Here is a 13,493-nt window from a genome sequence, read left to right as displayed (position 1 = left end):
CTATTCTGATTTTGGCTGCTAAGCTCTGGTTCTGTGTCACCTTGATCTTTAACTTGGGTTTCTAGAAAGAAGAGATGAGGACTGGACACCAAGTCCCAGTGTGGCCTGAATGGCAGACTTGATGCCAGGATGCTGAGCTCTTTCCTGCAGGGTGGGTGCATGGCTTGGAGAGGCCTTTAGATGTGCTGCCTGAGACAGCCCCGCTGGCCCTGACTGCAGGGTGGAGGGGTCTCCGGCTCCAGCCCCGATTGCACGTTAGGGATCAGGGAGCACTATTCATTCTTCCGATGCTGTGACTGACGGGCCGGCAAGGAAAGGAAGTGGATGGTGCATTTGCTGCCGCCTTTGAGCAAGGACCCTGTGAGCTGCAGCCTGTCCACTGGTCCCGCCTGCTGGGTGGAGGCTGCGTGGAGGCTGTGTGTGGCGCCTCTCTCTTCAACAGAAGCTCATCCTTCTGCTCTCTCTCTCCCTCTCCCCTCCCAGTCCCCATCTTCTTCCTCCCCTTCTTATCTTTAGAAACCACCCACCTCCACCCGCATCAGCTTCCACCTCTGAAGAGATCTTGCAATCCGACCCCTTGTGAGCTCAGCTTCCTGCGTGCTGAGGCCCCCTCCTGAGCATCCCACGTTGCCCTGACACCCACAGGAGCAGAGCCACTTCCGCACCTGCTCCGAGCGTCCCACGTTGCCCCGACACCCACAGGAGCGGAGCCACTTCCGCACCTGCTCCGAGCGTCCCACGTTGCCCCGACACCCACAGGAGCAGAGCCACTTCCGCACCTGCTCCGAGCGTCCCACGTTGCCCCGACACCCACAGGAGCAGAGCCACTTCCGCACCTGCTCCGAGCGTCCCACGTTGCCCCGACACCCACAGGAGCAGAGCCACTTCCGCACCTGCTCCGAGCGTCCCACGTTGCCCCGACACCCACAGGAGCGGAGCCACTTCCGCACCTGCTCCGAGCGTCCCACGTTGCCCCGACACCCACAGGAGCGGAGCCACTTCCGCACCTGCTCCTCTCCAGCTCCCCACAGGCTGCCTTCACCACACCCCTGGAGCTGGGTAGCTCCTGTGTTCTTTCAGTTGCTGAGTCACGGCCACACCCTCGTCCTGACCCTGACTTCCCCTGTTCCTCCTCTGTCATCCTGGCCCTGATGATCCATGCATCCTCCTCACTCCTGACTCTCCTTGTTCTAATCAGCTTGGACAGGTGCCACATACACCTTCTCAGATGTCCCCTCACTGCTCAGCAGCCTGTGGAAGCCCCCGCTGACTGGTTCAATTCATAGTCCTGCCGACCATCGAAAGCTTTCGGATGACCACAGTGTCATCTCCTGCCCCCTGCCCAGCGTGGGGCTGTCCCCTGGACGGTCCTCACTGACCTCCATGCCTGTGGTCTCCTGCCGCCTGCCCACCTGCCTTCTGCCCACCGTGGGGCTGTCCCTTGGATGGTCCTCACTGACCTCCGTGTATGTGATTTCCTGCCCAGAGCAGGGCTGTCCCCTGGATGTTCCTCACTGACCTTCGTAACACTGTAGCGCTGTCCCCTGGACGGTCCTCACTGACCTCTGTGTATGCAATTTCCTGCCTAGCACGGGGCTGTTCCCCGGATGGTCCTCACTGACCTCCATGTGTGTGATTTCCTGCCCAGCGCAGGGCTGTCCCCTGGATGGTCCTCACTGATCTTCATGTGTGCAGTCTCCTGCACACTGCAGCGCTATCCCCTGGGCAGTCCTCACTGACCTCCGTGCATGCGGTCTCCTGTCCACTGCCTGTTGCAGAGGCTGTTCCCTGGATGGTCCTCACTGACCTCTGTGTGTGCAATTTCCTGCCTAGCATGGGGCTGTCCCCTGGATATTCCTCACTCACCTTCATGTGTGTGATTTCCCGCCCAGCGCAGGGCTGTCCCCTGGATGTTCCTCACTGACCTTCATGTGTGTGATTTCCTGCCCAGAGCAGGGCTGTCCCCTGGATGTTCCTCACTGACCTTCGTGTGTGCAATTTCCTGCCTAGCACGGGGCTGTCCCCTGGATATTCCTCACTCACCTTCATGTGTGTGATTTCCCGCCCAGCGCAGGGCTGTCCCCTGGATGTTCCTCACTGACCTTCATGTGTGTGATTTCCTGCCCAGCACAGGGCTGTCCCCTGGATGGTCCTCACTGACCTCTGTTTGTGCAATTTCCTGCCTAGTGCGGGGCTGTCCCCTGGATGGTCCTCACTGACCTCCATGTGTGTGATTTCCTGCCCAGCGCAGGGCTATCCCCTGGATGGTCCTCACTGACCTTCTTGTGTGCAGTCTCCTGCACACTGCAGCGCTATCCCCTGGACAGTCCTCACTGACCTCTCTGTGTGCAATTTCCTGCCTAGTGCAGGGCTGTCCCCTGGACGGTCCTCACTGACATCCATGTGTGCAGTCCTTGCCCCACATCCAAGCCCTGGGTCCTGAGAGATCCTCATGGATGCCTGTTCTGACCCATAGCTTACCCACCCCTCTCCCTGCCTCTCCACCCTTCAAACCTAGCTCAGAGCCCATTCCCCCCAGTAACCTCCTGATGTTCCTCAGCTGACCATGCTGGGGCCTCTCTAGTCAGGTTGGAATCCCTGGTATTGGCCAGCCATCAAACCACCCCGAACCAGAGCGGTGTCCTTCATGATTGGTTGTGGCTGCTCCGGGCTGGGCTGGCCCTAGTGTCTCTGCCCATGCACCTGCCATCCTGCTCTTGCAACCATCGGGCTGGCCCAGGTGTGTCCTTCCTATGGCGATGGCGGAGGGGCGGGGGAGTGAGGAGACACCCAGGCCTTCGGAGGCCCCCGGCATCCGCCTTGTCATGTCACAGCTAGCCAGTGGCCAAGCCTGGGTGGAGGTGGGGTTGGGGGAGGATCGGGGCCCTTCCTGCCAGTAGCCACACTCCTCCGTGGCTGTCACCATCATCACACCACTGCCTTGGTGGCCAAAAGTCCACTGTTCATGGGGCTCCTGTAGACCCCGGGCCTGTAGGGCTCCCATTCAAGGAGAAGACGGATGTTAAGCAAAATAAATGAAGTGTGGGTATTAGATGCAGTAGGTGCTAGGCGGGAGGTGGCCTGGGTGGGTTCCTCTCCCGTGTGCTTGGCTCAGGAAGCCTCTGAAGTGCTTTGCTCTGCACAATTGCCACCACACCTGTGTGGCCGGTGTCACTTAGTCATTCTACTGAAGGAGGACAAAGCTGGGCTCAAACTCAGGTTCAATCCTCAGCCTCACTGTGGAGCCCGCAGCCTTGGCCATGTTCTTCATGATTGCTGCCAGTGGCAGCCCCACCTGAGTCTGGCACCTCCGGGGAGAGGGGACTTCCTTGTGTGTGTCTCACTTTCCTGTGTTCTCCTAATGGCCCGCCTGTTCCACTGGGGTTGTCCGACGCCGAAGCCTCCCATGGAGCCTCTGCTTTCTCTGTGCTTCCCCACAGAACTCGCCCTCTCCCAGCTGCACAGTGTCTCAGCACCGGCCTTGTGTGCCCTGTACCAGAGCACGTCCCAAGCCCTCTGGAAATTCCAGCTCTTTGCCCTCCTCACCCTCTGCAGCCCTGAGGTGGCCCCTCGGCCATCACATGTGAGGACGCGCGGTGGGCTCTGTGCTTCCTGCTGTACCCGGTGCAGCGTCTGACCCACTGTAGCTGCCAGGTGGTACTCAGTGTGTTGTTAACAGCCACCACTTGGGATTACTGGATGCCTGCTTATGGCAGGCACTATTTGGGCTCATGTTATTTAGCACCACATTGAACCCCTTAAGGACGCAGGGCATGGTGATGGCATACACGTGTACGGTGGAAGAATCAGGGTTCCAGGAGTGAGGCGCGTGCTCAGGTCACCCCACCCCCCTCCCACCCCGGCTCCTCCGTTCCCTCCTACTTCACACTCCTTTTCTTCCTCTTCCTCTCCCCATTCCCTCTTCTCACTGTCCAGGGCAGAATGAAGTCCTCTAAACCAAAAGGCAGAGGCAGAAATACATGCTTTCAAATTAAATGTGCCTTTGTGTTACAGCTCAGGATTTTAAAACTATTGTTATTTAACCTTAGGAGCCTGTTGACAGCCCTGCATTAATTTTTCTCTGGTAGTGAACGGGGGACTTGGACACCACACAGGTGTTCCATTGTGCATGATTAGATGTCACCTTTGTAGAGAAGGAATGGCCTGGGAACCAGCCAACAGAGAGAATTCTGCACGCTCATGGAGCACACACAGCTGCACATGGAACGAAAAGCTTTTACTCCGTCTTGGTGGTTCTGGAGGTGGCAGCAAATCGCATCAGCAGGTCCCAAAGCATGGCCTTGCCTGGAGGCTTCATTTTGCCAGAAGTGTCCCATGGGTTTATATTATTTTATTTCATTTATGCATTTTTTTGACTAACAGTGGTTCAGACTTATGCCTCAGTGATATAGTGGGAAAAAAGAGGCAGGTCCCTGAGTGATTTATGATGCGATGATAATCCTACCTGCATCAGAGTTCATGTTTTAACTTTTGTTAGAGCCTTGGATTTTCCCGGCAACCCTATAGGGTGAGGAGGGGAACATAGTTTGCATTTTAACAAATTAAGAAGCTGAGGTTTCAAGGTTCACTCATATTCTGTTGGTGACAGGGCAATTTGGCAAGATATTTTGAAAGTCTTACATATATACCTTTAAAATATCTAGAATTCTTTTTATGGGAATGTATCCTAAGAGGAAAAAATCAGAGATCTCTCCAAGGACTTACAATCAAGATTGCGTATTGCAGTATTATTTTTAATGGGAAATATTGGAAACAATGTAAAGTTTCTTCAAGAGGGAATTGGTTAGCTAGATGATGTGCATGTGTAGAAATAGTTATTAAGCAGTGATTAAAATTCATGATGAGAAATACTAAGGACAGGGAATTGTTCACAATGTGTTATAAGTAAAAAGTGCAGGTTATAAAGTTGTGTGTACACAACAGCAGAGACATGGAACCAACCTAAATGCCCATCAGTGAGGGACTGGATAAAGAAAGTGTGGTACATACGTACACACCATGGACTACTATGCAGCCGTAGAAAAGAGTGAGATCATGTCCTTTGCAGGGACATGGATGGAGCGGGAAGCTGTTATCCTCGGCAAACTAACACAGGAACAGAAAACCAAACACTGCATGTTCTCACTTATAAGTGGGAGCTGAATGACGGGAGCACATGGACACATGGGGGGGGAACGACACAGACTGGGCACCTGTTGTGGGGGTGGGCAGGGAGAGCACAGGAATAATTGCTAATGGACGCTGGCCTAAATACCCAGGTGAGGGGATGCTCTGTGCAGGAAACCACCATGGCACACACTTACCTATGTGACAAACCTGCACATCCTGGACATGGACCCCAGGATGTATAAGTTGGACAAAAATTAAAGGTGTGTGTACAGTATGACCCCAGGTCTTTCATATATGCAAAGAAAAGTAGCTGAAAACCAAAATATTAACAAGGAATTTATCTCTAGGTAATGAGTTAACTGGTATTGTATTATTCTTTGAGATTTTCTGCATTTTCTTAATTTTCTAGGCTTTTATGATATAAAACAATTCCCAATAATTTTTTTTCCATTTTTTTTTTTTTGAGACAGTCTCACTCTTGTCCCCCAGGCTGGAGTGTGGCTCACTGCAACCTCCGACTCCCGGGTTCAAGCGATTCTCCTGCCTTGGCCCCCCAAGTAGCTGGGATTATAGGCACACACCACCACGCCTGGCTAATTTTTGTATTTTTAGTAGAGACAGGGTTTCTCCACGTTGGCCAGGCTGGTCTACAACTCCTGCCCTCAAATGATCTGCCTGCCTCGGCCTCCCAAAGTGCTGGGATTACAGGCGTGAGCCACCGTGGCTGGCCAGTTCCCAATAATGTTTCAAGTGAACAGGTGCAGACAGAGTGAGTGATTTGTCCATGGTAACATGACTAATATCTGTAACTTTTTGTTCGTAACCAGGAGCTCTTTCCATTCTCTCAGTAGAATCATCAGTGTTCGGTACTGTTACTTCCAAGTCCTCCATTCTTGTGGTGCCGGCTCTGCCTCTTCAGAGATGTGCAATGAACGGATGCTTCCAGTTTGGGAAACCTGGTGGGGAGACAGGCCGGGGGAGGAAGGGGTGCCATCCTTCCATCCACCTCTTCTGCTTTCTTTTTTCCTACTTGTTTCAGTGAGTCAGATGAAGACATCAAGGACCTGTTGATTAAACCTGCACATGGTACACAGCTGTGAGGGTAGAGAGAAGCTGGTATTGTGACATTAGAGTCCAGAAAGGTTTAGACTGGGTATCTGAGTCAAATGTGAGTTTGGAATTACACATGGATGAGAAGAGAGTCCCATCCTGGAGTCAAGGGGCCAGTGGTGAAAGTCATATGGACACAGTGGCTGATGGACACAGTAGTTGATGGACACAGTGGCTGATGGACACAGTAGTTGATGGACACAGTGGCTTATGGACACAGTGGCTGATGGACACAGTAGTTGATGGACACAGTGGCTGATGGACACAGTAGTTGATGGACACAGTGGCTGATGGACACAGTAGTTGATGGACACAGTAGTTGATGGACACAGTGGCTGATGGACACAGTGGCTGATGGACACAGTGGCTGATGGACACAGTAGTTGATGGACACAGTGGCTGATGGACACAGTAGTTGATGGACACAGTGGCTGATGGACACAGTGGCTGATGGACACAGTAGTTGATGGACACAGTGGCTGATGGACACAGTGGCTGATGGACACAGTAGTTGATGGACACAGTAGTTGATGGACACAGTGGCTGATGGACACAGTAGTTGATGGACACAGTGGCTGGGGGTGAGGGAAAAGTGGCTCAGCGTGAATTTGACAAGAAAAGAATCTATTTTCTATTGTAAAATCAGGCTGTGGAATCAACAGCGTGGTGTGTGGTGACGTCCAGGTTTGGGTGTGTCCACCTAGCCTCGCTGTGTGAACTGGGGGATGTGAGACCACTTGACACAGCCTTTTCCGTGCTCCAGGGGACTCGGCAAGTGCAGCCGGGAGGAAGGCGTCCCGAGGAGCAGGGGTGGGGCTGGTGGCCATGGACCCCTGAGGGGTGGCTGTGTCCAGGGCTGGTCCAGATGTGATGGTGCTGTGTGGTTGTGACAGTGTTCTGGTGGGCACCTGTCTTGTTTCCTGCCCATTTCTCCAAGTCAGTTTTCTAACCTTCTTTTGATCTTGTGAAGAACCTGATCTCCTTCTAATAAATCAAGAGTTGGCTAAGTTTTTTTGTAAAAATTGTTTCCTTTCAGGCCAGTCTCTGTCACAACTATTGAATTATTATAGGACAAAAGTGGCCATAGGCAATCTGTAAGCAAGTGGGCGTGGCTGTGTTTCCATAAAACTTTATTAATACAGAAACATATGGCAGTGGCAGACCATGGTTTGCCTACCCCAGAGCAAGCCAGTTCTTCTTGTGCTTGAAGCTGCTGAGATCAATTTCTCTCACTTTTCTCCCGGCCCTGGGATGGAATCAAGCTCTAGGGAGAGGAGCAGAGAGTCGGAACGAGGAGAGGATGGTGCGTTTTACTCCGTGACGGCTTTATCACTCCTGAGGCTTTGTGTTCAGTGCTGACACTCGCCTCACCTTAAGGCAGTTCGGACATCGCAGGCATCCGCAGAGCTAGGAGGATGGTGACGCGGTTAGAAGCCACGATGTGAGCTGGGCGCGGTGCTGGTGGCTCAGGCTGTCTCACTTTCAGGGGTAGAACTTGACTCTATGACACTAAGTAGATCGATAATGAAAGCTCCAGGCGGGTCAACATATCCTCAATAAATAAAACTTCAAAAAATCCAGGGCTGCCGAAACACGCGTTGGCCTCCTTGGTGACTTTTCTGCCTGGCTACACAGAAAAGGCCGCTGTGACAGCGCCTTTGGTGGTCTCTGACTCCAACACAGGGTGGCCGGGGCTCTGGCACTGCCCCTCCCTCTGCTGTGCTGTCTGGAGGCAGGAGGTCCCCCCCTGCGACTGCTGACAGAGCTGTCTTCTTGGATCTGCCTCCCAGACTGGGGACAGGGTTGGAAGATTCACAAGAAGGCAGCCTCAGCCTCAGCCTGGCGTTGTGTCGGGGATGGGAACAGGGCTTCCCAGCAGAAGGCAGGCTGTTCTCCCGTTCAGGATTGGCCCATTGATCACGTCCTGGGTGCAGGAATGCGAGCACTGGGGCCTCCTGAACTGGGGCGCTCCATCTGCTGAAATCGGGGGGTACAGAGGCTCTGAGACCCTTGGAGTCCCTGGGCAGTGCTCTGTTTGCTTGGCTGTAGCCCCGGGCGGGGAGAGGGTCTGAGGATAACTTAAAACACAAGAGATGATAAAACTCATCTTTCCTTCCAGGAAGGAGTGATGATTTCCCCTCTGCGGCTCCGCAAGTGGGTTGTTGCTGCTTTGCCTGGGAAGGCACGAAAATGTCATAGTTAAAAAAGCTTTAACATAATGAAAATAGAAAAGCACCAGACTTCATAAAGCTGATAACATTCCCATTACCGGAAGGGCGCCCTGAGTGCTCCGAGCCTCACACATTTGGACTCCGAGCGGGAGGCGGGAAGCCGCAGAGCCCAGCTCCCAGCGGACGTGGCCCGGAGCCTGTCACACCCTCGCGTGTGCAAGCCGCTTGCCTGACCCGCCGCGTGAGGAGCGCGGCCCAGCAGCACCGGCCTTGCCTGGGAACTGGTTAGATATGCAGGTTCTCTGGCCTGCTCCGGACGCATTAGGTCAGAAACTCGGGGACTGGGCCCCGCAGCTTTGTTCTAACAGGCCCTGCAGGGGCTTAAGAGCGAAAACCGTTGGGCTGGATGGCGTTTAACAGCCCTGGTCACGTCTTTCAACTTCAGTTCTGTTGTCTGGTTTGCTGCGCCCCAGTGAGAGGCAGCGGGTGGACGTTTTTGTGGCTGGGGCGTTTGGCAGCGTCTGCAGGATCCTTCCTGGGAAGCCAGCGTGGCCCTTTGGAATAGTGAAGGTTCGGAGTTCCACAGAGAAGAGTGTGTGAAACTTCAACTCACATTTTTCAAATGTTTTTGAGCCCAAGCCTGGTTTTGTTAACGACCCACAGCACCTGTGCCCTCCAGAGCTGCCACCAGCTGAGACTTGCTAATTCCCTGGGGGACTTTTACAGAGTTTTAAGTAGTTTTTCTTCTTTGTTCTGTGTCAATTAACCTGTATCTACAGTGGACGGTAGTAATTCCCAGCACACTGGAAATGTAGCGAGCTCAAGAGGAAGATAAAAAGAAATTATTTTTCAAATTCACCTCAGACTATCCTCCTAAAGTGTCAGTCCCATCCTCTGATAAGGTCTCACGTGGCATATCCAGTTGCCTGTAGCAAATATCAGGGTTAAAAGGGGAAACTGTAGTAACAATTGGATCTAATTTGTCTTTTCATTATTGTAAGTGCAGATTCCTCTCACCCACAATGCGAGTGGTGTTTGTGGACAGGTGTCTAAAGGAGCAGAAGGCAATATTCTTTCCTATCTCATCACTTAAAAATAAAGTTTTCAAAATAAACCTTTTTTTTTTTTTTTTTTAGCTCAAGTGTAAGAGTTCTAATCATCAGGGCCAGGAAGCAGTTTTTGTCTTTTAAATCTTAATTAAATTACAATGTATATTTAAATATACATCCAGTCTTAAAACTGAACCTAATACATTTGTAAAAATTAGTTGATGTATGATTTTCCCCACATAATTAATTTAAAATTATACACACACACACACACATACACACACTGGAGGGTGTGTGTATATATATATATACACACACACACACACACACACATACACACATATATTTGAGATGGAGTCTTGCTCCGTCACCCAGGCTGGAGTGCAGTGGCACATTCTTGGCTCACTGAAACCTCCACCTCCCAGGTTCAAGTGATTCTCCTGCTTCAGCCTCCCAAGTAGCTGGGATTATAGGCATGCACCACCATGCCCAGCTAATTTTGTATTTTTTAGTAGAGACTAAACACCATGTTGGCCAAGCTGGTCTTGAACTCCTGACCTCTAGGCCTCCCAGTGTGTTGGGATTATAGACGTGAGCCACTGGGCCTGGCCTAAAATAATTTGTATAAGGCCAATCATTTGTTATCCGGGTGATGAAGAATTTGGATCCAGAAAACAAATTGTAAAGAGTTTGTTAAATTTACTTTTAACAATTTTTATAATGTGCTGACCCAAGTTTTCAATTTACGGATGATTTCTACATGTGATGCCCTTGCTTCTCAGTGTGGTGGGCAGCCCAGCGGACGAGTCACCAGGGAGTGCTTTGGAAATGCTGAATCTTTGGCTCCGTCCCAGGCCCAGGGAATAGAAATACTCATTTAACAGGGCCCAGCTGGTTCACATGCACATCAAAGTGTGGGAGAGGCTGTTTCCATGATGATGATGATGATGATAATGATGATATAACTCACATTTCCTAAGGGGGTCTTGAGATGATAAGGTCTTTTTGTTAGAGGGCTTTGGTGCTTTAACAATGACTGAGAAACTATGAACTGGATTTTTCCTCTTTCATCAGAGACTACAACTAAGTCAGCCCAGTACTGCTAAAAAGCTTGTTTACCTTTTAAATTATGTGTCTGAAGTACCACATGTCTAAAGTTCACGTTTACAGCAGGGTAGGCTGTGTGGTTCACGTGTGCCATGTCTCAGCAATCCTGAGCAATACATCTACCTTTCTTCACTTTATTCTCACTTTTGGTACTGTTCTTTCATGGGTCATACTATATTTTAATCCAGCACATGAGAGTTACCGGTTGAAGTTCTCTGAGATTAGCTTAACCATTTCATCCCCGGCATAGCCTGGCTACCTGCACCTGCAGTATTTAATGTTCAAGGATTTTCATCAGATACTTTTTCAAAGCTTGTCTTTAACTTTTTATCTGTGAAAGCAAGGTTAGAAATGTTTTCTTAGTCCCGAAGAATGACTCAGCAAACATCCTTCTTTTGAAGGTATTATCCCATTTCAGGAAATCGAGGACAAAAAACCAGAGCCGATTAAAAACCAAGAGCTGATTAAAACCACGTGCCATTTAGAATAAATATAGTTGAGGTTGCTGCTCTTAATGTCTTCAAACGAATGAAGGAGGAATGTGTAGCATGGAGAGCGCGGTTCCCAAAAAGTAACTCCTGGACTTTAAAAATAAAACAAACAATTCTGGTAGGTATCCTGAATTTGGTACAATTTCTTACTCTTAAGAGAGTTTAAATAAATCTGTGCAATTAGGAACCTGAAATAAGGAAATTAATCAAAGTAAGAGGTTTTGTTTTTCCTAAAAATAAATGACAGGACTTGATGGTTGTCCTGGTACCCAGCTCGCTGCCCTTCTTCCAGGGTGGAGTGAGCTGGTTCTTTTTCTGTGGGAAGCTGATTTTGTGAACAGGAGGATCTGAAATCAGGAACTGCCTTAGAATTGTGGCCCCAGCTTCAAACAAGAACTGACTTTACAGAAGCCAAAGACGTGAGGAGGACCTTGGCCATTTCAGCCTCTGCTGAGCACACACATCACCGTTGTGATGGAGCGGACTGACCAGGCGTATGGGGTGGAGGTGAATTGGAGGGGCCTGAGCCCCAAGGATCCACCTTTGCAGTAAGGCACGGTCACTCATCCATGTTTGTGTGTGCCCTCCCAGCTCCTGCTCATGTGTGACATCTGTGCCCGGCAGAACAGGCCCAGCATGGAAGGAGTGTGAGCCTCAGGCCCCTCCTCCCAGCACAGGGGACGGACAGGTGTCCCCGCAGGAACAGGGCCCAGAGGCTGTGCAGGGGGCAGGCCCTCATGCCTGCAGGAGAAACCTTGGCCTGAACTTGCCAGCGGTCAGCTCCCATCGTTCATGGCAATTGAGTGTGCAGCGGCGCAGAGAACATGCCACTTAATAACTGTTTTGGGGTCCTGCCTTGTAGGTCTAAGATCCAGGCCACCGTGCAGTCCTCAGGATGGGGCACCCATCTTCCTGCTCTCTGAGGCATTGAGGCTGAAGTTTCCAGAATCTTCTGGGTGATTATCCCTCCTCCTGCTACCAATTTGGCTGTGGACCCTCCTCTGCGAGGAATGCAGCCATGTGTGTCAACCTCCAGAAATGCCCTGCGCTGAGAGTGTGGCCAAGGCAAGGAAGGGACGGGTCCCCAAAACGCTGGGCTGGGGCTGTGATTGAAAGCCTCAGAATTGGGGAGGACTTACTGGGGGGCTCCATACTCTGGATCGGCAGGTGAAGGGGACTGAGCAACACCCACCCCTACGTGCAGTGGGCAGGGTGGGGCTGGGTCACCTGGCCAAGGTGGGGCTGCATGTCACCCAACGGAGCCCCTTGCTTGGCAGCCCAGGGAAGGGGGAGGGGCGCAGGGAACAAGGAAGGGGCACAGGGAAGGGGGAAGGGGTACAGGGAAGGGGGAGGGGGCTCAGGGAAGGGGAGGGGGCGCAGGGAAGGAGGAGAGGGAGCAGGGAAGGGGGAGGGGGCGCAGGGAAGGGGAGGGGGCGCAGGGAAGGGAGAGGGGGTGCAGGGAAGGGGAGGGGGCACAAGGAAGGGGGAGAGGGCGCAGGGAAGGGGGAGAGGGCGCAGGGAAGGGGGAGGGGGCGCAGGGAAGGGGGAGGGGGCGCAGGGAAGGGAGAGGCTGCAGAGAAGGGGAGGGGGTGCAGGGAAGGGGGATGCTTCAGGGAAGGGGGAGGCCTGCAGGAAAGGGGGAGGGGGCACAGGGAAGGGGAGGGGGTGCAGGGAAGAGCAAGGGGTGCAGGGAAGGGGAGGGGAGGCTGCAGGGAAGGGGGAGGGGGCGTGGGGAAGGGGAGCAGGGAAGGGGAGGGGGGCACAGGGAAGGTGGAGGGGGTGCAAGGAAGGGGAGGGGAGGCTGCAGGGAAGGGGGAGGGGTGCAGGGAAGGGGGAAGGGGGAAGGGGAGCAGGGAAGGGGAGGGCGGCTCAGGGAAGGTGGAGGGGGCGCAGGGAAGGGGAGGGGCGCAGGGAAGGGGGATGCTGCAGGGAAGGGGGAGGCCTGCAGGGAAGGGGAGGGGGCGCAGGGAAGAGGAAGGGGTGCAGGGAAGGGGAGGGGAGGCTGCAGGGAAGGTGGGGCGCAGGGAAGGGGGAAGGGGAGCAGGGAAGGGGAGGGCGGCTCAGGGAAGGTGGAGGGGGCGCAGGGAAGGGGGAGGCTGCAGGGAAGGGGAGGGGGCTCAGAAGGGGGGCGCAGGGAAGGGGGAAGGGGCGTGGGGAAGGGGCGCAGGGAAGGGGGCACAGGGAAGGGGAGGGGCCACAGGAAAGGGGGACGCTGCAGGGAAGGGAGAGGGGGCACAGGGAAGGGGAGGGGGTGCAGGGAAGATGAAGGGGTGCAGGGAAGGGGAGGGAAGGCTGAAGGGAAGGGGGAGGCTGCAGGGAAGGGGGACACTGCAGGGGTTGTCCCCAGACTGGGACTGGGCTTTCAGGGAAGCAGTCAGTCCCTCTCATGTGGAGGTGGGCTGGCTTCCGTCCAGGCCGCTGCCAGGTCCCTTGGT

At 53.0% G+C, this 13,493-nt stretch overlaps 1 protein-coding gene across 13 annotated transcripts in view, besides 3 other annotated features; it reads left to right on the top strand.

The window, feature by feature from the left end:
- The window catches only part of PTPRN2 (protein tyrosine phosphatase receptor type N2), a 1,048,768-nt gene that overhangs the window by 78,245 nt on the left and 957,030 nt on the right, over positions 1-13,493 (top strand). The window lies entirely within an intron of this gene.
- Positions 811-1,322: an enhancer, noted in NCBI's record as "H3K27ac-H3K4me1 hESC enhancer chr7:158300949-158301460 (GRCh37/hg19 assembly coordinates)". NCBI's record gives its function as "activates a minimal SCP1, AML or CMV promoter by ChIP-STARR-seq in primed H9 embryonic stem cells {active_cell/tissue: H9 hESC(primed)}" and the evidence as "EXISTENCE:reporter gene assay evidence [ECO:0000049][PMID:30033119]".
- Positions 8,331-9,276: an enhancer, noted in NCBI's record as "H3K27ac-H3K4me1 hESC enhancer chr7:158292995-158293940 (GRCh37/hg19 assembly coordinates)". NCBI's record gives its function as "activates a minimal SCP1, AML or CMV promoter by ChIP-STARR-seq in naive H9 embryonic stem cells {active_cell/tissue: H9 hESC(naive)}" and the evidence as "EXISTENCE:reporter gene assay evidence [ECO:0000049][PMID:30033119]".
- Positions 11,823-12,378: an enhancer, noted in NCBI's record as "H3K4me1 hESC enhancer chr7:158289893-158290448 (GRCh37/hg19 assembly coordinates)". NCBI's record gives its function as "activates a minimal SCP1, AML or CMV promoter by ChIP-STARR-seq in primed H9 embryonic stem cells {active_cell/tissue: H9 hESC(primed)}" and the evidence as "EXISTENCE:reporter gene assay evidence [ECO:0000049][PMID:30033119]".

Source organism: Homo sapiens, chromosome 7, assembly GCF_000001405.40.
Source record: "Homo sapiens chromosome 7, GRCh38.p14 Primary Assembly".
NCBI classification, from domain to species: domain Eukaryota; kingdom Metazoa; phylum Chordata; class Mammalia; order Primates; family Hominidae; genus Homo; species Homo sapiens.
The sequence above is the reverse complement of the archived record's forward strand: the minus strand, read 5'-3'. Positions and strand labels throughout refer to the sequence as shown.